The sequence below is a fragment of the Homo sapiens genome, chromosome 16 (genome assembly GCF_000001405.40).
Source record: "Homo sapiens chromosome 16, GRCh38.p14 Primary Assembly".
NCBI lineage: Eukaryota > Metazoa > Chordata > Mammalia > Primates > Hominidae > Homo > Homo sapiens.
Window position 1 is genome coordinate 28,498,992 of NC_000016.10, and position 26,317 is coordinate 28,525,308.

Here is a 26,317-nt window from a genome sequence, read left to right on the forward strand (position 1 = left end):
CTCTCTAACTCCCACTTCCCAGCCCAACTCCCTGCACCAAGACCCTCAGAACTGGGCGGGGATAACACAAACCTCTGGAGCTGCATCCAGGCCAAAGGAAGGCGGTTGGGAGGGCTTAAGGAGCACTGTTCAGAATCAGAGATGAGCTGCCTTGAGCTTCCAACACGGTAGCTCGGCCTCAGGATGCTGCTGGTTACTATGGCAACTGCCTGCCGGAGCAGGACATAGTAGGGGAAGGTGGGCCAGAGACCCCAAAAATGTAGGAGCAGAGAGGGGTTCAGGATGGCTAGAGGTTGCTGACCCCGTTCCAGGCTGCCCTGCCCTCTGGGTGTCAGACAGCCCTTACCCGAAGAGAAGCGGAGGCCAGGGGTGGATGAGAGTGCTTTATTGGGCACCCAGCATGGGGGCTTGGCCCGAGGAGGACCATCGGGCCCCAAGACAATAAATAAACCATCATCTCCCTAAACAATAAATAAATATCCAAGAAATAAATAGCTGGCGAGGACCAGAGGGGCTTTCAGTTACTGGGTAGAGCCTGGGGCAGGGGGCTGGAAGAGCCCTCCCTTGTCCAAGGCTGATGATGCGAAGGCTGCCCTGATGCCAAGACTCCAGTCCTAAAGTTCTAAAGGGTGGGGGGCAGGGGGCTAAGAAGCCACCGATCAGGGCTGGGGGCTCAATGTTGGGAACCCCAAGGGCCAGACTGAGTGCCCAGCCTTGGACAGCAGCAGCAACTCCCGCACGGCCCGAGATAAGACGAGCTCCAAGGAGTGCAGCAGGCGGTAGGTGGAGAGGAGCTGGGGCCAGGACACCTGGGCCGGGCCCTGTAAGGCGCTGCCCAGTGCCCCTGGGAGCAGCCCCTTCCTCTCCTCCTCCTCCTCCTCCTCTTCCTCCTCCTCCTCCTCCGGGAGGTTGAATCCTGCAGCCAGCACCTGTGAGGAGAGGCCATGGGTCAGGGAGGGGCCAGGCCGAGAACCTGAGAGGAATCCTCATTCCCTATTCATGCCCAGCGGTTCCCAATGACATCAGTGACCACAAGGTCATGATTTCCCCGGACATTCCCTGCTTGATCTTCCATGATGTCACCTGCTAACGCGTCTCACCTGATCTTTCAGTTCGAGAAAATGGAAGTCAAGGAGCAAGAGGATGCTCACAGAGCTAGATCACCCCAAGGACTGCCCCGAGGCGTGGGGTTCAGGAAGTTTCTCTCTGCTGTGAAAGTTGCTTTTGGGTCGGGTCAGCAACAGGCAGAGGGTGACATAGCTCAGATTCCCTGCTGCTTGCCATTCCTCTCTCTCTCTCTTTCTTGGGAGCCCCGCTCTGTCGCCCAGGCTGGAGTGCAGTGGGGTGATCACGGCTCACTGCAACCTCTGTCTCCCCAGTTCAAGCAATTCTCCTACCTCAGCCTCCTGAGTAGCTGGGACTACAGACGCGCACCACCACGCCCGACTAATTTTTGTATTTTTAGTAGAGATGGGGTTTTACCATGTTGGCCAGGCTGGTCTCGAACTCCTGACCTCAAATGATCCACCCGCTTTGGCCTCCTAAAGTGCTGGGATTCCAGGCGTGAGCCACCACGCCCAGCCCTGCTGCTTGCATTTTCTATTCTCATTTCATTAAGTGTAAAATTCTGATTTCCCTTTGAAAGGTTCTGGAGGATCTGGGTGACATCAGAGAATCAGAGGGAGAAAGGAAACAGGAGGCAGACGCTGTGCTGGGCACTCAGGACACACCCCGAGTGACCTCACAGCCCAATGGCCTCCTGTTGAAGATAGAGCCCCAGGAGAATGTGAAGATTGAGGGGCAGCACCAGGGCCTGGTGTGGCTGTGTGTGCGCCTGCACACACGCACACACTCACACACATACTCATTCTCACAACGCACCCACACTCATTCCCATACAGTCACATTCACACAAAACACATTCATGGCTGGGCACAGTGGCTCACGCCTGTAATCCCAGCACTTTGGGAAGCCGAGGCGGGCAGAGCGCGAGGTCAGGAGTCTGAGACCAGCCTGGCCAACATGGTGAAACTAAAAATACAAAAAAATTAGCCAGGCATGATGGTGCACGCCTGTAGTCCTAGCTACTCAGGAGGCTGAGGCAGGAGAATTGCTTGAACCTGGGAGGCAGATGTTACAGTGAGCTGAGATCGCACCGCTGCACTCCAGCCTGGGCGACAGAGTGAGACTTAGTCTCAGAAAAAAAAAAAAATCGTTCACGTACCCACATACTCTCACACTCACACTCATCCTCACACACTGACATACCTATACCCAAACTCTCACCCACACACCTCACTTTCACACTCACAACACTCACATTCACACACCCACCCACACACTCCCACACTCTTACACTCACAGTCCCATACACTCACAGTCTCACACTCATGGACCTACACACACACGGTCACGCTCACACTCATACAGACCCACACACACTCACAGTCACACCCACACACTCACACACTCACAGCCACACACTTTCACACTCAGACCCACACACTCACAGTCACACTCACACACGGACGCACATACACACAGTCATGCTCACACTCATACAGCCCCCCCACACACACACTCACAGTCACACCCACACACTCTCACAGTCAGGTACACTCACACAGACCCACACACTCACTCTCACACTCACGGACCCACACCCTCACACACAGTCATGCTCACACTCATACAGACCCACATGCACTCACAGTCACTCCCACACACTCTCACACTCACAGACCCACACTCACACACTCTCACAGTCACACTGTCACACTCATGGACCCACACAGTCACACTCACTCTCCCACACTTACGGACCCACACAGTCACTCTCACACTCATGAACCCACACACTCATGGACACTCAGTCACACTCACACTCTCACACTCACACACACTCAGAGCATGGGATCACTGAATGAGCCAGCGAGTCTTCTTTCCCACGTGGTCTGGGGTGGTGGAGGGTGGCCGGGCTCTACCTGGAAGCGGAGGTGCCGCTGCAGATCGCGGAGGTCCAGCCTCATGGCCCACAGCTGCATCCTCTCCATGTTGGTCCAGCGGCCCTGGGTCCCCAGCCCTCCCAGCAGGGCATGGAAGGGCTGAAGCGTGGTGGAGATGAAGCAGAGACGCTCCGGGTCCTGAAGGGGAGGGAGATGGTCAGGAAAGGTCCACAGGCCAAGGATGGCCATATCACACCCACCCCCTCCCTATCCGGGTCTCCTTCCCATTCCACGCTCCAGCCTCCAGTCCATCCCTGTAGCTCTTCCCCCACCTCAGCCCAGCTGTGTCCCCATTCCTTCCATCTCCACTGTCTGGGACATTTGTCCCATCTCCTTTTCCAGCCTCCCTTTCACTCCTATGCCAATGATCTTCTCTAACCCACCCCCTCTCAGTCCCTGAAGCACTCTCCATCCACAGCCCTGTTCCCTTCCCTCCTCCACCATCCCATCATACCTCCTGCCCATGTGTTTCCATCCCATCTTCAGCCTCATTCCCATTCCTAACCCCAACTCCATCCTTCCTCCATGTGCCCAGACTCACTCTTTCCATCTTTCCATCCCATCTCCAACCTCATTCCTAACCCTATTCCATTCCCTTCCCCACCAGCAATCCCCATCCCTTCTCCATCCCATGCTTAACGTTCACCCTCATCATCACCTTCTCATCTCTAACTATCCGCATTCTCACCCCCAGTGCCACCTCCACCCACCCTCCATGCTGCTGTGATCTGTCTCCAGCCTCATTCCAGTCCCATGCCTGCCGCGTTCCATGCCTAGCTCCACTCTTACCTCTTCCCAACCCCACTTCCTTATTCCAGCTTCATCTTTATTGTTGGTTTGTTTTGAGATGGAGTCTCGCTCTGTTGCCCAGGCTGGAGTGCAGTGGCGCGATCTCATCTCACTGCAACCTCCACCTCCTGGGTTCAAGTAATTCTCCTGCCTCAGCCTCCCGAGTAGCTGGGATTACAGGCGCACAGCACCATACCCGGCTAATTTGGTATTTTTAGTAGAGGTGGGGTTTCTTCATGTTGGTCAGGCTGGTCTCGAACTCCTGACCTCAGGTGATCCACCCACATCAGCCTCCCACAGTGCTGGGATTACAGTCGTGAGCCACTGCGCTCAGCTAATTTTTGTATTTTTTAGTAGAGATGGGGTTTCGCCATGTTGGCCAGGCTGGTCTTGAACTCTTGACCTCAGGTGATCCGTGCTCCTCAGCCTCCCAACGTGCTGGGATTACAGGCATGAGCCACCACGCCTGGCAGTTTATTTATTTTTCTGAGACAGGGTTTCCCTCTGTTCTCCATCCTGGAGTCCAGGATCATAACTCACTGCAGCCTCCAACTCCTGAGCTCAAGCAATCCTCCCATGTCAGCCTCCTGAGTAGCTGGGACCAAAGGTGTACACCACCATGCCTGGCTAACTCTTAAATTTTTTTTTGTAGAGACAAAGTTTCACTATGTTGCCCAGACTGGTCTTGAACTCCTGGCCTCAAGCAGTCCTTCCACCTGGGCCTCCCAAAGTGCTGGGTTTATAGGTGTAAGTCACCATGCCTGTCTTTCATCTCTATGTCCAATGACATATTCAGCCTTATCCAGGTTCTATCCCCAATGCATCTCCAGCTCAATCTCCAGCCTCATCTTGCACCCTGGCCCCAGCCTATCACAAGCTTCCCGCCCCACTCCACCAGCCCTCACTCACAGAGAGGCGGCGCCAGGCCTGGAAGGTCAGGGAAACATCAGGGAGCTGCTCTCCCAGGGGCAGGAGGTACAGGTTCACTCCTGGCAGGTGAGATTCCGCCTGGGGGGCAAGGTCTGTTAGTGGGGGCCAGAAGGGATTGGGGGTCTGCCCATCTCCAGCGCCAGCTGCATTAGGGGGACTTACAAAGCGGTGGGCCTGGCCCCGAACCTCGGAGAGCAGCTTCCTGGCGAGATGCAGGCTGACTGTGAACTCCCTCCGCAGCTCCTGCAGGCTCAGCTGGGGCCTCCCTGGGGGCCTTGGGAATCCCCAGACACCAGCTTGAACCAGGAGCAAGGGAAGCAGCAACAGGCTGAGCCCTGGAGAGATGGGAAGAGGGTGGCAAGACAGGGAGAGAGCTTGAGAAGGAAGGGAACATGCCTTTTCTGAGCCTGTGCTAGCTGTGAGCACGGTGCAGGCACTTTGACCAGCATCATTCCTCTGCCTCCTCAAAACCACAATGGAGGCTGGGTGCGGTGACTCACACCTGTAATCCCAACAATTTAGGAGACCGAGGCGGGCGGATCACCTGAGGCCAGGAGTTCAAGACCAGCCTGGCCAACATGGCGAAACCCTGTCTCTACTAAAAATACAAAAATTAGTTGGGCGTGGTGGTGCATGCCTGTAATCCCAGCTACTCAGGAGGTTGAGGCAGGAGAATCGCTTGAACCTGGGAGGCAGAGGCTGCAGTGAGCTAACACCACTGTGCTCCAGCCTGGGCGACAGAGCCAGACTCTGTCTCAAAAAAACAAAACAAAACAAAACAAAACAAAACCCCACGATGCAGCCAGCACGGCCCCCATATGGCATCTCCGCATGGTGTGCCCACTTTTGCAAAAAGACCAGAAGCCTGATCCTTTTTTTTTTTTTTTGAAACAGAGTTCTGTTCTATCACCCAGCCTGGAGTGTAGTGGTGTGATCACAGCTCACTGTAGCCTTGAACTCCTAGGCTCAAGTGATCCTCTCGCCTCAGCCTCCCAAGTAGCTGGGATCACAGGGACACACCACTGTGCCTAACTGTTTCTATTTTTTTGTAGAGACAGGGTCTCACTATGTTGCCCAGGCTGGTCTTGAACTCCTGGCCTCAAGAGATCTTCCCGCCTCAGCCTCCCAAATTGCTGGGATCACAGGCATGAGCCACTGTGCCGGGACAGAGACTGGATTTTGACCCCCATAAACTCCCTTGGCCAAATGCCTTTTTCAGTGAGCAACCTGCACAACCACGTGTGGCAGCCTCAGTGCTATTGTTCTCCCCAATTTGCAGGTGAGGCTCAGTGAGGTTGACTTGCCCAAGGTCAAATAGCCAGAAGGTGGGAAGCCAGGACTGGATTCCAGGTTTTTCCAAATGCAGAGCCCATGGGTTTTCCCCAGAGAATGCAGAGGGAGGCAGCCATCTGCCCCAGGAGTGGGCACACCATGTTCTGGCAAGGATTCTTTGGGCTCAGCCAAGCGGCTCTGATGGCTTGAACTGGCCATGAGGTCCCCAGGGATGGGCTGGCAATGCCAGAGGCTCTATTCCAGGGAGTCAAAAGGACAGGTTTGTCCAGTTTCCACCACGGCAGGTGGATCCTAGCAGGGTAACCTGCCTGGGGCGAATCCACAGTATGGGAGCTTTTTTTTTTTTAAGACAGATTCTCACTCTGTCACCCAGGCTGCAGTGCAGTGGCGCGATCTCGACTCACTGCAACCTTCACCTCCCAGGTTAAAGCAATTCTCCTGCCTCAGCCTCCTGAGTAGCCACCACGCCTGGCTAATTTTTATTATATTTAGTAGAGAGGGGTTTTGCCGTGTTGGCCAGGCTGGTCTCCAACTCCTGACCTCAGGTGATCCGCCTGCCTTGGCCTCCCAAAGTGCTGGGATTACAGACATCAGCCACTGCGCCCAGCCCAGAATGGCTGAATTCCGAGTGTGCTTCCTGACCTGTGTTTTCCTGGAAAGAGGGGCAGCGGATGGGCGCTCTAGGAAGAGGGCAGCATTCATCAATTTCCCCCTCAGGGAGAGGAAATCTAGCAAGCACAAGAGTTACACAATTCTCCTCGAAACACAAACCAAAACTGGCCCGAAGTCCATCCTGCTCTCCCTTCTCTCCCTGCCTCTTCCCTGTCCTCTCTCAATCTCTAACCCCTGGGCTCTGCTCTTCGAAATGTCCCCTGATAAAGGTGAAGGGGAGCTTCTAGGGACATCTACCTCCCTCGTGGGCTTGCAGATGTGGTGGGCGATGCCTAACGTAAGATCTCTGGCATTCAGACTCCCTGGTTTTGGGGCCACTCGGACCCTCTGACATCCTGGAGACTTAAGGCAGAGTGGGGTTCTTCCTAGCTCAATGTTGGGGACAGGGTGGGTGCCCCCAGGCCCTGGTGGATCAAGCCCAACCGTAAGTGAGCTGTGCCATCTCCAACCTGACCTCTGGAGACCCCAGACCCCCTCCTTACCCTCTGCAGCTGATCCTGGGTCATTGGCTCTGGCCTTTGAAGGCTCTGTCTCCATCCTCCAGCCTTTGGTCCCTACCTGCCCTACGTGGCATGTTACCTTCTCCACTGCCTACTGCTCTGGTTCTAGCCCCTGAGTTCTGCAGCCACCAGCCGCAGATTGGACCTCTTTCCAACATCAAACTAAAGACCTTTGACCCAGTGAGGCTGCTGACATCTTGGTCCCAGTGCTCCACTTGTGCCAGCACCTCGTTCTGCTCTTCCTCCAGCCGGCCCCATTCTCAGTCTTAGCCAAGCTGTTTGGCTTCTGCTTATTCACTCCAAACTCTTCATTTATCTGCCTAGACCTGGTCCTTGTCAAATTGCTGGTCCAACCCTCCCCATTCCCACTAGCCAAGGCCTCCTTCTCATCCTCTGCCCAGCCCTGGGTCAGACCACCACCCCACTGCCCCAGGCCCCCACCCAGTCATGCCAGCCTCCCTTCCCATGCAGCAGCCAGCCGAATCCTCAGTCTTGGCCAAGTTGCTGCTCTCAGCTCTCGACCCCCCATCTGCACCAGCCAAGCTCGTCCATTCTCTGCCCAAACTCAACCAAGCCCCCCACCCCTGGCTTCAAACTCACGCCAGCCAAGGTCGCCTGCCGTCTGGCCCATGGCGGGGCCCAGCCTCTTTGGTCAGCCATCTCCTGGGTAGGGGGGGTCTTATACTGGGGGCTGTGCCCGGTTTCACTTTCCGTCCTGCTTGTACTTTCAGCTTTGTGTTCACTCATTCTTCCCTCTCGCCACCCCTTGCTAAAATGGGGAAATGTAATTTCCCTTCCCGGAGGGGGTGGGAGGTATGATGGGGGGTGACGGGAAGCTGGGGTTTCGGGACATCCAAGCTCCAGACTCACTGCTAAGCTCCCACGTCCAGCCCTGTCCTCAATGTCCCATGCTTGGGTGAGCCATCCAGCCCTATTCACTGGTTGATCCCAGAGTCCCAAACCCCCTCCTGATTCTCGGCTCTGCCACCATCATCCTAGGGTCTACTGTCCTTCCAAAGATGGATAGCCAGGTAAGGGGATTGCCCACCCGAGGGGATTCGGGGTTTTGAGTCATCTGACTCCCTTATGGTTTACCAGATGGCTGAGGGAGGTGGCGCAGAGAGAGTCAGTGCTCAGTGGGTGGCTGGGATGCACCTTTGCATGGGGCCAGGCAGAGGCTCAGCGTGAGGGTGGGATTGGAGCTCAGTTTGTAACTAGGGTCAGGGCTGGATAAAACCAGGTCCGAGGCCATATCTGGGACCAGGGTTAGGGTTTTTTCCAGGGCCAAGGGCTCTGTCTCCATCTTTAACCTGAGTCAGATATAGGATTTGATTTCAGTCTATAATCAGGATCAGGAATCAGTGTACAGCTGAACTCACAGCCTAGTCCCGGGCCAATGTCCCGGCTGTGTCTGTGTTTAGGGTCAGAGCTATCAGTGACCTGGGGCTTTGCTTGTGGCCTATAGGGTTGGGTCTAGAGCTTGGTCTTTGGCCAAGGTGCTGACTGGGACTGGGACTCAGCAGGGGGTCCAGGCTTGGGCTGGGATGAGAGCTCAGTCAGTGACCAGGATCGGGGCTCAGCCTGTGGCCAGGCTTGAGTTGAGTGAGGTCAGGATCAGGGCTCAACCAGGTCCAAGAATAATCTTGGTGTTTCTGCTCTGTAGAGGCCATGGTCAGGGCTGGGCCACATGGACCACAGGTCTCCCTTCCAGCACAGCCCCACCCTCAGCCCCGCCCTGGATTTCCCATCTTCAGGGAGAGGATGGGGTTTCTTGGTCTTCCCCAAGAACAACTGCTGCCACTTTCTTTTTAGGACCTGTGGGGTTTCCCTGCCGGGTCCCTGGTGTGAGATAGAAACCAGGCGGGGCTTCCCCTTCCTGCTCTCTGCCTCCTCGGCCTGCCTGGGCACTGCCCACCAGGCCACTTGGGAACGAGCGCACCAGGGAAATACCAACATCTGCCGAGGGAGCAGCCCCACAGGCCACTGGAGACGGACAGGGAACTGGGGCTGGAGTCCAGCCCCTGTTTCCTCTGCAGCACCCCCCAGTGGTGGCAGCTCACTCCCCGGCAGCCTATGCAGCTGGGGCTCCCCACAGCGGGTCCTGGAGGCATGCCACCTGCTCACCCCCTTGACCACATGGGGCCTCGCTTCGGCTCTCTCCATGGCCCCTCCCAACCTCTACTGTCACCCAGAACTGCCTTACCTCTCACATCTTGAACCCTGGCTGGGCGACTCTGCTCTCACCTGTAATCTCAGCACTTTGGGAAACTGAGGTGAGAGGATCCCTTGAGGCCAGGAGTTCCAGACCAGCTTGGGCAAAATAGCAAGACCCCGTCTCTATTAAAAACACAATAAAATAAGGCCAGGCGTGGTGGCTCATGCCTGTAATCCCAGCACTTTGGGAGGCCAAGGCGGGTGGATCACTTGAGGTCAGGAGTTTGAGACCAGCCTGGCCAACATGGTGAAACCCCGTCTCTACTAAAAATACAAAAACTAACCAGGCATGGCAGCAGGCACCTGTAGTCCCAGCTACTTAGGAGGCTGAGGCAGGAGAATCGCTTGAACCTGGGAGACGGAGGTTGCAGCGAGCCAAGATTGCACCACTGCCCTCCATCCTGGGCAACAGAGCAAGACACTGTCTCAAAAAAAAAAAAAAAAAAAAAAGAAGAAAAGAAAAGAAAAAGAAAGGGTAGGGGGCAGTTGGCTGGGTGCCGTGGCTCATGCTGGTAATCCTACCACTATGGGAAGCTGAGGCAGGAGGATCAATTAAGCCCAGGAGTTCAAAGTCAGCCTGGGCAACATAGTGAGACCCCCTTCTCTAATTAAAAAAAAAAATCTTAGGCTGGGTGCAGTGGTTCATGCCTGTAATCCCAACACTTTTTTTTTTTTTTTTTTTTTTTTTGAGACGGAGTCTCGTTTTGTCGCCCAGGCTGGAGTGCTGTGGCGCGATCTCCGCTCACTGCAAGCTCCGCCTTCCGGGTTCACACCATTCTCCTGCCTCAGCCTCCCGAGTAGCTGGGACTACAGGCGCCCGCCACTGCGCCCGGCTAATTTTTTGTATTTTTAGTAGAGACAGGGTTTCACCGTGGTCTCGATCTCCTGACCTCGTGATCCACCCGCCTCGGCCTCCCAAAGTGCTGGGATTACAGGCGTGAGCCACCGCGCCCGGCCTAATCCCAACACTTTAGGAGGCCGAGGCAGGCAGATAATGAGGTCAGGAGTTCGAGACCAGCCTGGCCAGCATGATGAAACCCCGTCTGTACTAAAAATATAAAAAAATTAGCCAGGCATGGTGTCTTGCGCCTGTAGTCCCAGCTACTCAGGAGGCTGAGGCAGGAGAATTGCTTGAACCTGGCAGGTGGAGGTTGCAGTGAGCCGAAGTCACACCATTGCACTCCAGTCTGAGCGACAGAGCGAGACTCCATCTCAAAAAAAAAAAATTTGAACCCCATCTTCTCTTAGGGCTCCCTGACACACCCCAATCCCTTGCTGCTCCTTTGTGTTTTTTTTTTTTTTGAGATGGAGTCTCTCTCTATTGCCCAGGCTGGAGTGCAGTGGCGTGATCTCAGCTCACTGCAATCTTTGACTCCTGGGTTCAAGCGATCCTCCTGCCTCAGCCTCCCGAGTAGCTGGGATTATAGATGTGTGCCACAGTGCCTGGCTAATTATTTTTTTTAATTTTTATTTTGTTGAGACGGAGTCTGGCTCTGTCACCAAGGCTGGACCGCAAGCTCCACCTCCCGGGTTCACGCCATTCTCCTGCCTCAGCCTCCCGAGTAGCTGGGACAACAGGCGCCCGCCACTACGCCACGCCAATTTTTTGCATTTTTAGTAGAGACAGGGTTTCACTGTGTTAGCCAGGATGTTCTTGATCTCCTGACCTCATGATCCACCCACCTTGGCCTCCCAAAGTGCTGGGATTACAGGCGTGAGCCACTGCACCCGGCCTTATTTTTATTTTTATTTTATTATTATTATTTTTTGAGACAGAATTTTGCTCTCTCACCCAGACTGGAGTTCAGTGGCATGATGTTGGCTCAATGCAACCTCCGCCTCCTGGGTTCAAGTGATTCTTGTGCCTCAACCTCCCGAGTAGCTGGGACTACAGGCATGCAACACCACGCCTGGCTGATTTTTGTATTTTTAGTAGAGACAGGATTTTACCACGTTGGCCAGGCTGGTCTCGAACTCCTGGCTTCAAGTGATCCGCCAGACTCAACCTTCCAAAGTGCTGGGATTACAGGTATGAGCCACCGAGCTTGGTCTGTATTTTTAGTAGAGACGGGGTTTCACCATGTTGGTAAGGCTGGTCTCGAACTCCTAACCTCAAGCAATCCGCCCACCTTGGCCTCCCAAAGTGCTGGGATTACAGGCGTGAGCCACCACGCCTGGCTTCCTCTTCTCTTCTTAACCTGGCTTCAGCCAGTGCCTACAGCCTCATGCCTCATTCTCAACCTATGCCAGCTCTAGCAACTTGCTGCTTGTGTGGAGGTGATGAGCCATCTGGTACTTCCTGGTCCTTGTGCAAGCTCTTCTGTCTGCCTGGAGTTCCCTCTCCCCAATCCCTGTACCATACTCTTCGTCTCTGGCTGCCCCACTGAATGGCTATCCTTTCCTGCCATAATTCTTGTCTCAAATGAACATTTCACTTTTACATTTTTTTTACATTTTTAAACTTTTTTTCACTTTTACATTTTATTAATTTAAAAAATCATTTACTTATTTTTGTAGAGATTGAGTCTTGCTCTGTTGCCCAGGCTGGAGGCAGTGGTGCAATCACGACTCACTGAGGGCTCAAGCAATCCTCCCACCTCAGCCTCCTGAGTAGCTGGGATATAGGTGCGCGCCATCACACCTGGCTATTTTTTTAATTTTTTGTAGAGATAGGGGCTTCCTATGTTGCCCAGGGTGGTCTCGAACTCCTGGCCTCAAGCAATCCTCATGTCTTGGGCTTCCCAAAGTGCTGGGATTCAAGGCGTCAGCCAACACGCCTGGCCCCATTTACTTTTTTGTCTGTCTCCATTCATTAGAATACAGGTTCCACAAGCCAGGTGGGTTTTGGCTGATGGGCTGAGGCCTGGGTTAGTGCCAGCAGGAAATGGAAGGAAGGTAGTGAGGGATAAGGATAGACAGAAGGGAAATTGGGTAGCCTGGGATGTAGACACCTGTGTGTAGCCACCCCTTCTGGTCACCCCAGGGGAGTCACTGGCCTGCTCTGGACTTCATTTTCCTCATTGAAAAGTGAGAGCAGGCTGGGCATGGTGGCTCATGCCTGTGATCTTAGCACTTTGGGAAGCTGAGGTAGGAGGATCACTTGAGCTCAAGAGCTCAAGACCAGGCTGGGCAACATAGCAAGACCTCGTCTCTACTAAAAACCAAAAAAATTAGCTGGGCATGGTGGTGCGCACCTGAAGTCCCAGCTACTCCGGAGGCTGAGGTGGGAGGATTGCTTAAACCCAGGAGGTCAAGGCTGCAGTGAGCCATGATTGCACCACTGCACTCCAGCCTGGGTGACAGAGCGAGACCCTGTCTCTAAATAAAATAAGAAATAAATAAAAAAGAAAAGTGATAGCAAATCATTATTATTACATAGGGAAATTAAAACCCGAAAAAAAAAAAGAGAGAAGAAAAGAAAAGAACCATGCACCAATTTTCGGGTTATTTTCCAAGTCCTGTTACGGCTCTGACCCTGTGGGGCACTCCGTGGGCTTGCCTGGGAATCCTGAGCTCAGTGACAGAAGTTGGAGGCTTCAGATGTGACATGAGGATGGAATCAGGGAGGGGAAGTCTTGTTCAAGGTCACAAAGCCGGTCGGTAGCAGAAGGAAGACTGGAACTCAAGTCCCCTATCTTCAGCGTGGGCCAGTGCGGGGAATCCCTGCACTCCATGATGTCAGCTGCAAGGCCTGGAACTAACCCCTCGGTGAAACCAAGATGCTTTTGTGAAGACAGGAAGGCTGGGGGAAGGTAAAGCCAGTCTGGAGCGCAGCTCTCTCCTCAAACTCCCGAGCACAGATGGTGAGACCCCGAGGCTACGACAGCTCCTGTCCCCCAGGAAAGGTGCTGTGGCTGAGACCCACAGTCCCTGGACCTCTGATTCCTGGACTGCCCTCCCTTTATGCACACAAACCTCATGCCACACTAGGCCTGGACTCCGCCCAGATTTCTCCAGCAACGTGCACTCAGACAGCAGCAAGAGGCTTGTGTGTCCAGCCCCCTCCAGCCCACCTTTGGGACTGCCTCTAAGTGTTTTTTTGTTTTGTTTTGTTTTGGTTTGTTTGTTTTTGAGATGGAGTCTTACTCTGTTGCCCAGGCTGGAGTGCAGTGGAACCATCTCAGCTCACTGCAACCTCTGCCTCCTGGGTTCAAGCGATTCTCCTGCCTCAGCCTCCCGAGTGGCTGGGATTACAGGTGTGCGCCACCACACCTGGCTAATCTTTGTATATTTAGTAGAGATGGGGTTTCGCCATATTGGCCAGGCTGGTCTCGAACCCCTGACCTCAGGTGATCCGCCTGCCTCAGCCTCCCAAAGTACTGGGATTACAGGCGTGAGCCACTGTGCCCTGTCTGCCCTTAACTGTTATATCTGTCATGGGACCAACAACCCTGGGAAGGAGAGCCTGGAGAGGAGAAAATGCTTCTCTCCCTTGGTCTCACCTCTTTTTTCCTTGTAAGGGGGATGCTGGGTACCCCCATACTCTTGCAGCCATGGCAGGCACCTGGGGAGGGCTGAGAGGAAGAGATTGAGGGGCCACTCTTCCCAGACATAAATGACATGTGAATGCAGGCCTGGGAAGACTGAGTTCTGAGGGTGTGGGAAGGTGAGAAGCCAGGGCTGTTGAGTTCAGAGAAGGAAGAGCTTGCAGGAGGCAGGGGCTGCAGAGGAAAATCACCAGTCTGCGCATGAAAAGTCCCAGTTCAATTACTGGCTGGGCTCTGCCACTTCCTGTGTGTGCCTGCTTGGGCAAGATGGCCACACACTCTAGGCTTCAGTTTCCCCCTCTGTCAAACGAGGCCTATGCTCCCAGCCTTGCCCACCATCTGTCCCAAAATGAACTTGGGGCCGGGCGCGGTGGCTCATGCCTGTAATCCCAGCACTTTGGGAGGCCAACGTGGGTGGATCACCTGAGGTCAGCGGTTCGAGACCAGCCTGGACAACATGGCCCTGTCTATACTTAAAAAAAAAAAAAAAAAAAAAAAAAGAATTAACCAGGTGTGGTGGCGGGTGCCTATAATCCCAGCTACTAGGGAGGCTGAGGCAGGAAAATCACTTGAACCCGAGAAGCGGAGGTTGCAGTGAGCCGAGATCACGCCATTGCACTCCAGCCTGGGCGACAGAGGGGGACTCAGTCTTAAAAAAAAAAAAAAAGACGAACTTGGAAGTGGTCATGTGTCCAAGCCCCCCCAGCTGAGTTGGGAGCCAGACAGACCTCCGCCCCTCCCTTCAGAGCTCCAGCACTTCCCAGTGTGTGACCTTGATCAAGGCCTGAAGCCTCTCTGTGTTTGTTGGCTCAACTGCCAGTTGAGGACGATGCTTATGGCAGCTGGAGAGGACTTGCCGTGACCACTATGCATCTAAAACAGCCCTGCCACCGAAGAGCTCTGCGATCTCAGACAAGTTACTCAACTTCTCTGTGCCTCAGTTTCATCATCTAGAACGTGAGGGAAATAATACAAATGCATACAACTGCTTAAAGGATTCAGTGAGTTACTGTGTGTAAAGCACTTAGAACAGGGCCTGGCCTGTGGTAAGACTCACAGGTTTTAGCTGTTATTAGTAGCACAAGGCCTGACCCACAGGAAGTTCTCCAGACACATCAGTTGTCATAAAGAAATGCAAGGGAAAAAAAGAATTAGCTGGGTTGGTGGCACATACCTGTGGTCCTAGCTACTCGGGAGGCTGAAGTGAGAGGATTGCTTGAGCCTGTGAGTTCGAGGCTGCAGTGAGCTATGATTACACTCCTGCACTCCAGACTCGGTGACAGAATGAGACTCTGTCTCCCCGCTCCCCCTGCAAAAAAAGGCAAAGGAGAGCCATGCAGGGAGAAGAGGATGGAGTCATAAGTCAGAGCAGAGTTCAGGCCAGAGGCAGAAATCTCAGGGGCCTGGCCAGTCAGGCCCTGGGCCAGGGTGTGCGCAGCCTCAGAGGCGAGGACCACTGGGTGGGACTCAGGTCCCAGGCCAGCTTGGTGGGGTGGGCTCTACCCCAAGTGCTGCTTGTATTCAGAGCCCTCTCCTTGCACAGCGGCAGGCACCTCTGGCCGGCTCATCAGCCTCCCTGGGATGAGGACGCAGACATACTGAGCCCCAGGACAGGCCCTGCCCAGGGTCTGAGAGGGGAGGCAGACCCTGGGCCGACACGCCTGGTCCTCCAGTGGCCCCCAGCTCCCAGGCTAATATGGGACCCCATTCCTGTCCCAGCACCCTCAGCTGGCTGCCTCCATGGGGGCTCAGTCACTCCTGACTGTCATGTCCTGTCCACTGCCCAGGCGAGTGCACCGTTTACTCCTCAGAAAGAGGACACACCTGGAACACATGTCCACTCGCTGCTCATATTTTTATGTATTGGTTGATTTGTACAAAAGAATCTACGGGCCGGATGCGGTGGCTCATGCCTGCAATCCCAGCACTTTGGGAGGTCGAGGAGGGTGGATCATTTGAGGTCAGGAGTTCGAGGCCAGCCTGGCCAACATGGCGAAACCCTGTCTCTATCAAAAATACAAAAATTAGCCGGGTGTGGTGTCTCATGCCTGTAATCCCAGCTACTCAAGAGGCTGAGGCAGGAGAATCACTTGAACCCGGGAGTCGGAGGTTGCTTTGAGCCAAGATCCCACCACCGCACTCCAGTCTGGGTGACAGGTGAGACTCCGTCTGAAAAAAAAAAAAAAAATCTATGAACCATATATGTTTCTGCTGCCCCCCTACCTTGCTTCCTCTGCCTCAGTTCTGGTTTGGGGTCCCAACAGGCTGCCTGCAGGACTCACTCCCTAATTCCCATGGCTCCATGTTCCTTTTCTCTTTCTTGAGACAGGGTTTTGCTCTGTCACCCAGGCTGGAGTGCAGTGGCACAGCCTCGACCTGCTGTGCTCCAGTGATCCTTCCGCCTTAGCCTCTCCAGTAGCTAGGTCCACAGGCATGCACCACCATGCCAGGCTAAATGTTTTATTTTTTGTAGAGATGTGGGTCTTACTATGTTGCCCAGGCAGGTCTTAAACTCTTGGGCTCAAGTGATCCTCCTGCCTTGCCCTCCCAAAGTGCTGGGATTACAGGTGTAAGCCACTGTGCCTGGCAAGAATTTTTCTTTTTCTTTCTTTCTTTTTTTGAGGCCGTGTGTCCCTCTGTCACCCAGGCTGGAGTGCAGTGGCACAATCATAGCTCACTGCAGCCTCGACCTCCTGGGCTTAAGCGGTAAGAATCTTGATTATTATTTACTTTGAGCTCCTAGATCCAACCATTTCTGAAGCAATTACTTCTGAAATGTTCAGTTTCATGAGTCAATCCTGAGTTTTTGTTAAGTCAGTTCGATCTGTTTCTGCCACTTGCACCACATGTTCCCCCCATTTTGATCTACTCTTCCAAATTAATTTTCTAATGTTAAAAATCAGACTAGATAGGCTGAACACAGTGCTCATGCCTGTAATCCCAGCACTTTGGGAGGCCAAGGCAGGCAGATTGCTTGAGGCCAGGAGTTCAAGACCAGCCTGGCTAACATAGTGAAGCCCTGTCTCTACTAAAAATATAAAAATAATTAGCTAGGTATAGTGGGCACCTGTAATTCCAGCTACTCAGGAGGCTGAGGCATGAGAATAGCTTGAACTGGGAGGCGGAGGTTGCAGTAAGCCGAGATTGCACCACTACACTCTAGCCTGGGCGACTCAGCAAGACTCTGTCTCCAAAAAAAAAAAAAAAAAAAAAAAAAAAAAATCACACTAGATAAAGAAATCACGGCCGGGCACAGTGGCTCACACCTGTAATCCCAGCAATTTGGGAGGCTGAGGCGGGTGGATCACTTGAGGTCAGGAGTTCAAGACCAGCCTGGCCAACATGGTAAAACCCCGTCTCTTCAAAGAAAAAAATAAAATAAAACACACAATTAGCTGGGTGTGGTGGCATGAGCCTATAGTCCCAGCTACTCAGGAGGCTGAGGCAAGAGAATCACTTGAACCCGGGAGGTGGAGGTTGCAGTGAGCCAAGATCATGCCATTGCACTCCAGCCTGGGTAACAGAGCGAGACTTCATTTAAAAAAAAAAAAATGACAAAGTCAAACAGTATATTACTGTGGAAAGAGTCTTGTGTCAGAAGCCAGCAGCAAGGGCAATTTAGATTTAAAAAAAGTGTCAATATTTCAGCCAATATTTACTGAGCACCAAGTCAGTACGCCCCAGCCATTGTTCTAGGCATTGGAGATACAGAGGTAAATGAAGCTGATACAAAGCTCTGTGTGTTTATATTGAATAAAATAAAATAACCACTAAAATAGAATCAGATGCTTATATGTGCCAGGCACTTCTCAACTATTGGCTTATTTAATCCTCACAATAGGCCAGGCATGGTAGCTCATGCCTGTAATCCCAGTGCTTTGGAAGGCTGAGGCGGGAGGATCACTTGAGATCAGGAGTTTGAGACCAGCCTGGCCAACATGGCAAAACCCCATCTCTACTAAAAATACAAAAAAATTAGCCGGGCATGGTGGCGGGTGCCTGTAATCGCAGCTACTCGGAAGGCTGAGGCAGGAGAATTGCTTGAACCCAGGAGAAAGAGGTTGCAGTGAGCTGAGATTGTGCCAATGCACTCCAGCCTGGGCAACAGAGTGAGACTCTATCTCAAAAAATAATAACAAATAAATAAATAATAAAATCCTCACAATAGGTTATCTATTATCTAGGTTATTGCATGTTTTACCTACAAGTAATATTATTGTTCATGTTTTTAAAATATTTTATTAATTGTATTTTATTGTACTATGTTTTATTGTATTATTTTATTGTTTCCTGAGGCTGAAGCTGGGGCTGGGGCCAGGGCTGGGGCTGGTTATGTTCATTTTATACAAAAGATGAAACAGGCCCAGAGAGGTTAAGTGACCTGCCCATGGTCACAGAGCTAGACTTCAATTCCAGGCAGTGTGGCTTTCTTTCTCTTTTTTTTTTTTTGAGACAGAGTCTCACTCTGTCGCCCAGGCTGGAGTGCAGTGGTGCAATCACGGCTCACTACAACCTCCACCTCCTGGGTTCAAGCGATTCTCCTGCCTCAGTCTCCTGAGTAACTGGGATTACAGGTGCGCGCCACCACACCCGGTTAATTTTTCTATTTTTAGTAGAGACAGGGTTTCACCATGTTGGTCAGGCTGGTCTCCAACTCCTGACCTCGTGATCCACCTGCCTCGACCTCCCACAGTGCTGGCATTACCGGCGTGAGCCACCACGCCTGGCCAGCTTTCTTAACTACTATATGATGCTGCCTGGTGTGGCAGCCAGCATTTACTGACCCTCCCCTGTATGCCAGACACTCTTCTAGCAGCTTTACATGCAAAACTCATGTACAGTAGTTCCCCTCATCCGAGGTTTCATTCTCTTCAGTTTGAGTTATGCTTGGTCAAGTGTGGTCCCAAAATAGGTGAGTCCACGAGTTTCAAGTCAGGGCTAAGTTAAAGATAGGTGAATACATTACAATAAGATATTTTGCCAGGCGCAGTGGCTCACACCTGTAATCCCAGCACTTTGGGAGGCCAAGGCGGGGGGATCACGAGGTCAGGAGATCGAGACCATCCTGGCTAACACGGTGAAACCCCGTCTCTACTAAAAATACTAAAAAATTAGCTGGGCATGGTGGCGGGCGCCTGTAGTCCCAGCTACTAGGGAGGCTAAGGCAGGAGAATGGCGTGAACCTGGGAAGCGGAGCTTGCAGTGAGCTGAGATCGCACCACTGCACTACAGCCTGGGCGACAAAGCGAGACTCCGTCTAAAAAAAAAAAAAGATATTTTGAGAGAGAGAGAGGGAGAAAGAGAAACTACATTTACATAACTTTTATTACAGTATATTGTCGTCCTATTTTATTATTACTTATTATTGTTAATCTCTTACTGTACATAATTTATACATTAAATTTTCCCATAGGGGCCGGGTGCAGTGGCTCTCACCTGTAATCCCAGCACTTTGGGAGGCCTAGGTGGGTGGATCACCTGAGGTCAAGAGCTCGAGACCAGCCTGGCCAATACGGTGAAACCTCGTCTCTACTAAAAATACAAAAATTAGCCTGGCGTGGTGGCAGACACCTGTAATCACAACTACTCGGGAGGCTGAGACAGGAGAATCGCTGGAACCCAGGAGGAGGAGGTTGCAGTGAGCCGAGATTTCACCACTGCACTCCAGCCTGGGCGACAAAGCAAGGCTCCGTCTCAAAAAAAAAAAAAAAATCCCATGGGCATATATGTATAGGAGAAAACAGTATATACAGGGTTCGGGACTATCTGTGGTTTCAGGCATCCACTGCGGGGGTCTTAGAACATGTGCCCCATGGATAACAAGAGGCTACTCAGACAATCTATTTTACAGATGAAGAAACTGAGATTAAACAAGTGACAGAACTGAAATTTTTTTTTATAGAGATGGGGTCTCACTGTTGCCCAGGCTGGTCTTGAACCCCTGGGCTCAAGTGATCCACCCTCCTTGGCCTCCCAAAGTGCTGGGATTACCAGCGTGAGCCACTGCGCCTGGCCCAGAACTGAACTTTTTTTTTTTTTTTCTTTTTTTCTGAGACAGAGTCTTGCTCTGTCGCCCAGGCTGGAGTGCAATGGCGCAATCTTGGCTCACTGCAACCTCTGCCTCCTGGGTTCAAGCAATTCTCCTACCTCAGCCTCCCAAGTAGCTGGGATTACAGGCATATGCCACCATGCCCTGCCAATTTTTGTATTTTTAGTAGAGATGGGGTTTCACCATGTTGGCCAGGCTGGTCTCGAACTCCTGACCTAGTGATCTGCCCTTCTTGGCCTCCCAAAGTGCTGGGATTACAGGCATGAGCCACCACGCCCGGTCAACTTTTTTTTTTTTTTTTTGAGACACAGTCTCGCTTTGTTGCCCAGACTGCAGTTCAGTGGCGTGGTCTCGGCTCATTGAAACCTCCACCTCCCGGGTTCAAACAATTCTCCCTGCCTTAGCCTCCCGAGTAGCTGGGATTACAGGCACCCGTCACTACGCCCAGCTAATTTTTGTATTTTTTTTTTTTTTAGTAGAGATGGGGTTTCACCATGTTGGCCAGGCTGGTCTTGAACTCCTGACTTCAGGTGATCTGCCTGCCTTGGCCACCCAAAGTGCTAAGATTACAGGCGCGAGCCACCGCACCCAGCCCAGAACTGAAACTTGAACCAAAGCAGCCTGGCTCAAGTGTCCACATACTTAACCACTAGTCCATACTGCCTGTAATGGATGAACAAGAGAATGAAGAGAGGGCAGGGCCGGGCCCAGTGGTTTACACCTGTAATCCCAGCACTTTGGGACGCCACAGCAGGCAGATCACTTGAGGTCAGGAGTTCGAGACCAACCTGGCCAACATAGTGAAACTCTGTCTCTACTCAAAATACAAAAATTAGCAGGGTGTGGTGGCAGACACCTGTAATCCCAGCTACGCTGGAGGCTGAGGGAGGAATGCTTGAACCTGGGAAGCGGAGGTTGCAGTGAGCCGAGATTGCGCCACTGCACTCAAGCCTGGGCCACAGATCGAGACTCTGTCTCCAAAAAAGAAAAGAAAAGAAAAGAACAGATCCTATGCATATCCATTCTGAGAGCACAATGGAGCCTACTGGCCCCACCTCCCACACCTTGACCCAGTGGCTGGACCTGTCCGTGTTCCCAGCACGGAGAGTCTTGCTGTGATGACAACAGTGTGCAATGGATGTCAAAAGCAGGCAAGAGACCAGAGGTGGTGGCTCATGCCTGTAATCCCAGCACTTTGGGAGGCTGAGAAATGTGGATCATCGGAGGTCAGGAGTTTGAGACCAGCCTGGCCAACATAGTGAAACCCCGTCTCTGCTAAAAAATACAAAAATTAGCTTGGTGTAGTGGTGCATACCTGTAATCCCATCTACTCGGGCGGCTGAGGGAGGAGAATTGCTTTAACCTGGGAGGCAGAGGTTGTAGTGAGCTGAGATCGTGCCACTGCTCTCCAACCTGGGTGACAGAGCGAGACTCTGTCTCAAATTGGAAAAAAAAAAAAGAAAAGTTAAAAAGGCAGGCAAGGAACGGAGAGACAACGAGAGGGTAAAAGGGAAGAGTTGGGTGTGGTGGCACGCGCCTGTGGTCCCAGCTACAGTGACTCAGGAGGCTGAGACAGGAGAATCACTTGAACACAGGAGGTGGAGGTTGCAGTGAGTCAAGATCATGCCACTGCACTCTGACCTGGGCAACAGAGCAAGACTCCATCTCAAAAAAATACAACAAAACAAAACAAAACAAAAATAATGAATAAATAAATATAAATGACAGGGTGAAAGAAAAGGTGTGGGAGTCAGGAAGTCTCCCAACCGCCTGGGACTCCACGCATTCCCCACCAGAAATCTCATAGCCGTTCCCCTAATTCTCCTATTGCTCTGGTAATTCAGGGGTAGGAATATGCATTCCAAGCTTTCTCAGTAAATGTCAGGACGTTCTTAGAACCTAGCTGTCAGAAAGGGAGGTGGGGCAGGGGTCAGAGTTCACAGCCACATCAAGCTTCCCCAGTGCACTTCTTTGACCCTCATCCTGGCTCACACCCACCTCTGCAGGTGATGCAGCTTGTGGGTAAACTGTTCCTGCTCACCAGGCGTCTGCCATGCAGAGCTAGTTGGTCAGGACATCAACGTCTTCACCACCATCGTTGCTGGTCTGAGCCTCAGAAGACTACAGTCCCACTTGGTACTGAAGGAGAATAGAGCAGGCCCAGCTAACTCAAATAGCAGCAGCAAAGTTATATCGACCACCCCCGTCACTCTGTTCTCATTTAAAGAGGAAGCAGGCAGGCGCGGTGCCTCACGCCTGTAATCCCAGCACTTTGGGAGGCCAAGGTGAGCGAATCCCTTGAGGCCGGAGTTCAAGACCAGCCTGGCCAACATAGCAAAACCCTGTTTCTACTAAAAATACAAAAAATTAGCTGGACGTGGTGGTGCATGCCTGTAGTGACAGCTACTCAGGAGGCTGAGGCAGGAGAATTGCTTGAACCTGGGAGGTGGAGGCTGCAGTGAGGTGAGATTGCACCACTACACTCCAGCCTGGGCGACAGAGTGAGACCCTATCTCAAACAAAACAAAACAAAATAAAACAAGGGGAAGCAGATATAGACACAAACTACCCTAAAATAGGTGGGACTGTAGCAAGAGGTGCAAAGGGTATAAGCTCTGGGTAAGGAGAGAGTCATTCTTATGAGGAGATGTGGCAGGTGAGCCTCCTCTGCCTGTAGGCAGCCATGCGCGATGCCGCTCATACAAACTTGCTGTCTTTCACTGTCCACTCGAGGGAAGCTAAGAACCCTCCTGAGCTGAGGGCTTTGCTTGAATCATCCTGGTGACTACAAAGGGACGAACAGGATACAGGGGTCTTCGCTCATTGCAGATGGGAGCTGGGGAGCTGTAATTCTAGGGCTGTTATTGCTGGAGAGCTGTGCTGGACCTAAGGGCTCTTTTCAGAGCGGTTATCTTTCCTGGAGACCAACAAGCCATGGGAACCCTGGGAAAACCTTTACCAGGACCCCAAATTAAAGGCCATCGGCACCATTTGGCGTCCATGGACAGGTGAGCCTCAGATCTGCCACCTCTCGAGATCTGGTGAACCAGGACATGAAAACAGGGCCCCTGGCTTGGTGGCCAGTTCATTGTCCCCATGCCCAGGATGGGAGCACACCTCGCTGGCTACATCCTCATTCTCCCTCCCTTTTCTCTCTCTCATTCTCAATCTCTCTCTCTCTTTTTTTTTTTTTTTTTTTTTTTTTTAGAGACAGGGTCTTGCTCTGTGGCCCAGGCTGGAGTGCAGCGGCATGATCTCGGCTCACTGCAGCCTCAATGTCCCAGGCTCAAGAGATCCTCCCACCTCAGCCTCCTGAGTAGCTGGGACTACAGGTTCATGCCACCATGCCTGGCTATTTTTTTATTTTTTTAGAGATGGGGGTCTCACTATGTTGCCCAGGCTGGCCTTGAACTCCTGGGCTCAAGCGATCCTCCCGTCTCTGCCTCCCACAGTACTGGGATTACAGGCCTGAGCCTCTGTACCAGCTCCATCACCCCTTCCCTCAGATGTTTTTCTCTGTAGTTTCTAATAACCGAGTGATTGCACTTTTCCTGCTCTTAGTGCAGAAATGCATGCTTATACTTATTTCGTGCCTTTGTAGTCTGCTTCGGCTATTTGGGCAATTGTTTCTATTTTATGTTAGGCAGGATACTTTCAATCTTTTTTTTTTTTTTTTTAATTGAGATGGAGTTTCGCTCTTGTCGCCTAGGCTGGAGTGCAATGGTGGGATCTTGGCTTACTGCAACCTTCGCCACCCAGGTTCAAGTGATTCTCCTGCCTCAGCCTCCTAGTAGCTGGGATTACAGGCACCTGCCACCACACCTGGCTAATTTTTGTATTTTTAGTAGAGACGGGGTTTCACCATGTGGGCCAGGCTGGTCTCAAACTCCTGACCTCAGGTGATCCACCCAAACTGCTGGGACTACAGCGCGACCCACTGCGCACGGCCCTGTTTTGAATCTTTTGTTGTTTTGAGAGGTCCCGCACTGGGGTGACTCTTGGACCCCAGAGTCATGTGTTTCCTGCTAGACTGTGGGCTGGAGTCCCACCCTAGGGGGACATTGTGGGCTAGAGTCCTATTGTGACTGTTGGCTGCACCCTTCCCCCCACCTTCCTGCTCTGGGGGTTTTCCAGACCCTCGGTGGCTGAAACCTAAATGCTCCGAATTCGTTGGCATCTCTGTATGCTCTGTTAGCGTCTTTTTTGGTCATCTTTGTCATCCTTCTTTTGCCCAACACCATAACGCTGTCTTTGCTTTTCGTGGAACTCAGACTATAAGTCCTGTCCCCTATTTTCACCTCTCCTTCCTATTTTCACTGCTCCATCTGTACTTTGCTTATGAAAACATCTCTTTGATTGCATTCCGTTTGCTGGTCATGTCTCATAAGTCACTTTGGTTGCACCTTGCTGGCTATACTCACTCCCTCTTTGCAAGAATTGGTGGCGATTGCCCTGCTGAGCTTTCTTAAGGAAAAAGAAAGGTGGCAATTTGAATGGGAAAATAACTGTGCTCTAGCTAGACTTAGAAAACCCTCTGTGTCTAGTAGAGATCCTTGGTGTTTTTTTCTATTTTTATTAGATAAGGTCTCGTTATGTTGCCCAGGCAGGTCTCGAACTCCTGGCCTCAAGTGATCCTCCCACCTCGGCCTCCCAAAGTGCTACGATTACAGGCATGAGCCACTGCGCCCAGCCTAGTAGTAGAGTAGAGAACCTTGTTAGACAGGGGAACAAGAATGAAGGACCTGCCACCCAAGTGCCTTTTAGGCAATTGGAGCAGATTCCTTCATGACCCCTTCCTAGCTGCTTCCCCTAGGACACCCATGCCTGCCTCCCACCCCGACTCCCTGCCTCCTCAGTTCCCTGATTCTCAAGAGGGTTCCTCCAGTCCTCTAGTGCAGGATTCTACACCAGGTCATCAGACACCCCTCCTTATCCAACGAGCCCCAGCCTATAACCCCTGCTTCTGGAGGAAGTAAATTTAACCAGTACCACCAGGAGTGGGACCCCATATCAGCCCCTGAGGTTGAACCTATGTCCATTGAGGGAGGTAGCTAACAGAACTGGGAGGACACTCAGAGTACATGTGCCTTTTTTAAAATGTCTGATTTGGCTTTCTGCCAGGAGAAATTTGGCCAGGTTTTGGAGGATCCAGGGAAGTTTATAGAGGCGTTTGCTAAGCCGACCATGTCCTTTGACTTAACTTGGCATGACTTGCAAATATTGTTTGCAAGTAGGTCACTCCTGACCTCAAGTGATCTGCCAGGCTCGGTCTCCCAAAGTGCTGGGATTACAGGCATGACCCACCATGCCTGACCTGGGACTTGTTTAATAGAAGGTATGAGGCTGGGCACAGTGGCTCATGCCTGTAATCCCAGCACTTTGGGAGGCTGAGGCAGGAGGATCGCTTGAGGCCAGGAGTGTGAGACCGGCCTGGGTAATATAGGGAGAACTTATCTCTGCAAAATAAAAAATAAGAAATCCAGCTGGGCATGGTGGCTCACGCCTGTAATCCCAGCACTTTGGAAGGCTGAGGCAGGTGGATCACCTGAGGTCAGGAGTTCGAGACCAGCCTGGCCAACATAGTGAAACCCCATCTCTACTAAAAATACAAAAATTAGCTGGGTGTGGTAGTGCACGCCTGTAATCCCAGCTACTTGGGAAGCTGAGGCAGGAGACTCCCTTGAACCCAGGAAGCAGAGGTTGCAGTGAGCCAAGATCGTGCCACTGCAGTCCAGCCTGAGTAACAGAGTAAGACTCCGTCTCAAAAAAAAAAAAAAACAGGATGTTGCAAAGAAGCCAGCTCAAACCAGCTAGGACTAGGAATCATAATACATTTGCATAAGACACTTCCACCAGCACCATGACAATTTACAAGTCCCATGGCAATAAACCCAAAAGGTACCTTATATGGTTCCAGGAAAACCCTGCCCCCTTTCCAGAAAGTTTGTGAATAGCCCGCCTCTTAATTAGCATGTGATTAGAAGGACGTATCAGTAGAGCCTCAGTAGAGCCAGCAAGCGATCAGGGAGTGCCCTCTGCCTGTGGGACAGCCCTGCTCTGTCTGTGGAACAGCCATCTTGTTGTACACTGTTGCACAAATAAACCTGCTTGCTTTCACTGTCCGCTCACTCTTGAATTCTTTCCTCCGTGAAGCCCAGAACCCTCCTGAGCTGAGCCCTGATTTTGGGGTTCTCTTGCATCCTCACTGATGGCTGATCCTCCAGGAGGCCTTTCCTGGTCATCTGACAAAGATTCCCTCCTTGGCCAAGCTAGCCAGACACCAACATAGTTTTTTTTGTATTTTTATTTTGGGGCCAGGTTATGATGTAGCAGGACAAGCCACAGACAAAACTCATCAGACACCGGATTAAAGAAGGA

General features: G+C 52.0%; 1 protein-coding gene across 1 annotated transcript, besides 4 other annotated features; it reads right to left on the minus strand.

The window, feature by feature from the left end:
- Positions 272-772: an enhancer, noted in NCBI's record as "H3K4me1 hESC enhancer chr16:28510584-28511084 (GRCh37/hg19 assembly coordinates)". NCBI's record gives its function as "activates a minimal SCP1, AML or CMV promoter by ChIP-STARR-seq in primed H9 embryonic stem cells {active_cell/tissue: H9 hESC(primed)}" and the evidence as "EXISTENCE:reporter gene assay evidence [ECO:0000049][PMID:30033119]".
- On the minus strand, positions 371-7,843 carry IL27 (interleukin 27). Its single transcript, NM_145659.3, has 5 exons — positions 7,790-7,843; positions 4,887-5,059; positions 4,704-4,802; positions 2,985-3,143; positions 371-929 (listed from the first exon to the last, which is right to left on the minus strand). The coding sequence occupies exons 1-5, from the start codon at positions 7,818-7,820 to the stop codon at positions 660-662; spliced, it is 732 nt and encodes a 243-aa protein (NP_663634.2). The 5' UTR covers positions 7,821-7,843; the 3' UTR covers positions 371-659.
- Positions 773-1,273: an enhancer, noted in NCBI's record as "H3K4me1 hESC enhancer chr16:28511085-28511585 (GRCh37/hg19 assembly coordinates)". NCBI's record gives its function as "activates a minimal SCP1, AML or CMV promoter by ChIP-STARR-seq in primed H9 embryonic stem cells {active_cell/tissue: H9 hESC(primed)}" and the evidence as "EXISTENCE:reporter gene assay evidence [ECO:0000049][PMID:30033119]".
- Positions 8,257-8,316: a silencer, noted in NCBI's record as "silent region_7309". NCBI's record gives its function as "represses an Ori minimal core promoter by ATAC-STARR-seq in GM12878 lymphoblastoid cells {active_cell/tissue: GM12878}" and the evidence as "EXISTENCE:reporter gene assay evidence [ECO:0000049][PMID:35858748]".
- Positions 8,967-9,026: an enhancer, noted in NCBI's record as "active region_10641". NCBI's record gives its function as "activates an Ori minimal core promoter by ATAC-STARR-seq in GM12878 lymphoblastoid cells {active_cell/tissue: GM12878}" and the evidence as "EXISTENCE:reporter gene assay evidence [ECO:0000049][PMID:35858748]".

Coding starts and splice junctions, on each gene's coding strand:
- IL27 (NM_145659.3), bottom strand. CDS start 7,820: ATGGGCCAGACGGCAGGCGACCTTGGCTGGC. Junction 3,144..4,703: donor AGGCCTGGCGCCGCCTCTCT/GTGAGTGAGGGC, acceptor CCTCCCCTTCAG/GACCCGGAGCGTCTCTGCTT. Junction 930..2,984: donor AGCGGCACCTCCGCTTCCAG/GTAGAGCCCGGC, acceptor CTCTCCTCACAG/GTGCTGGCTGCAGGATTCAA.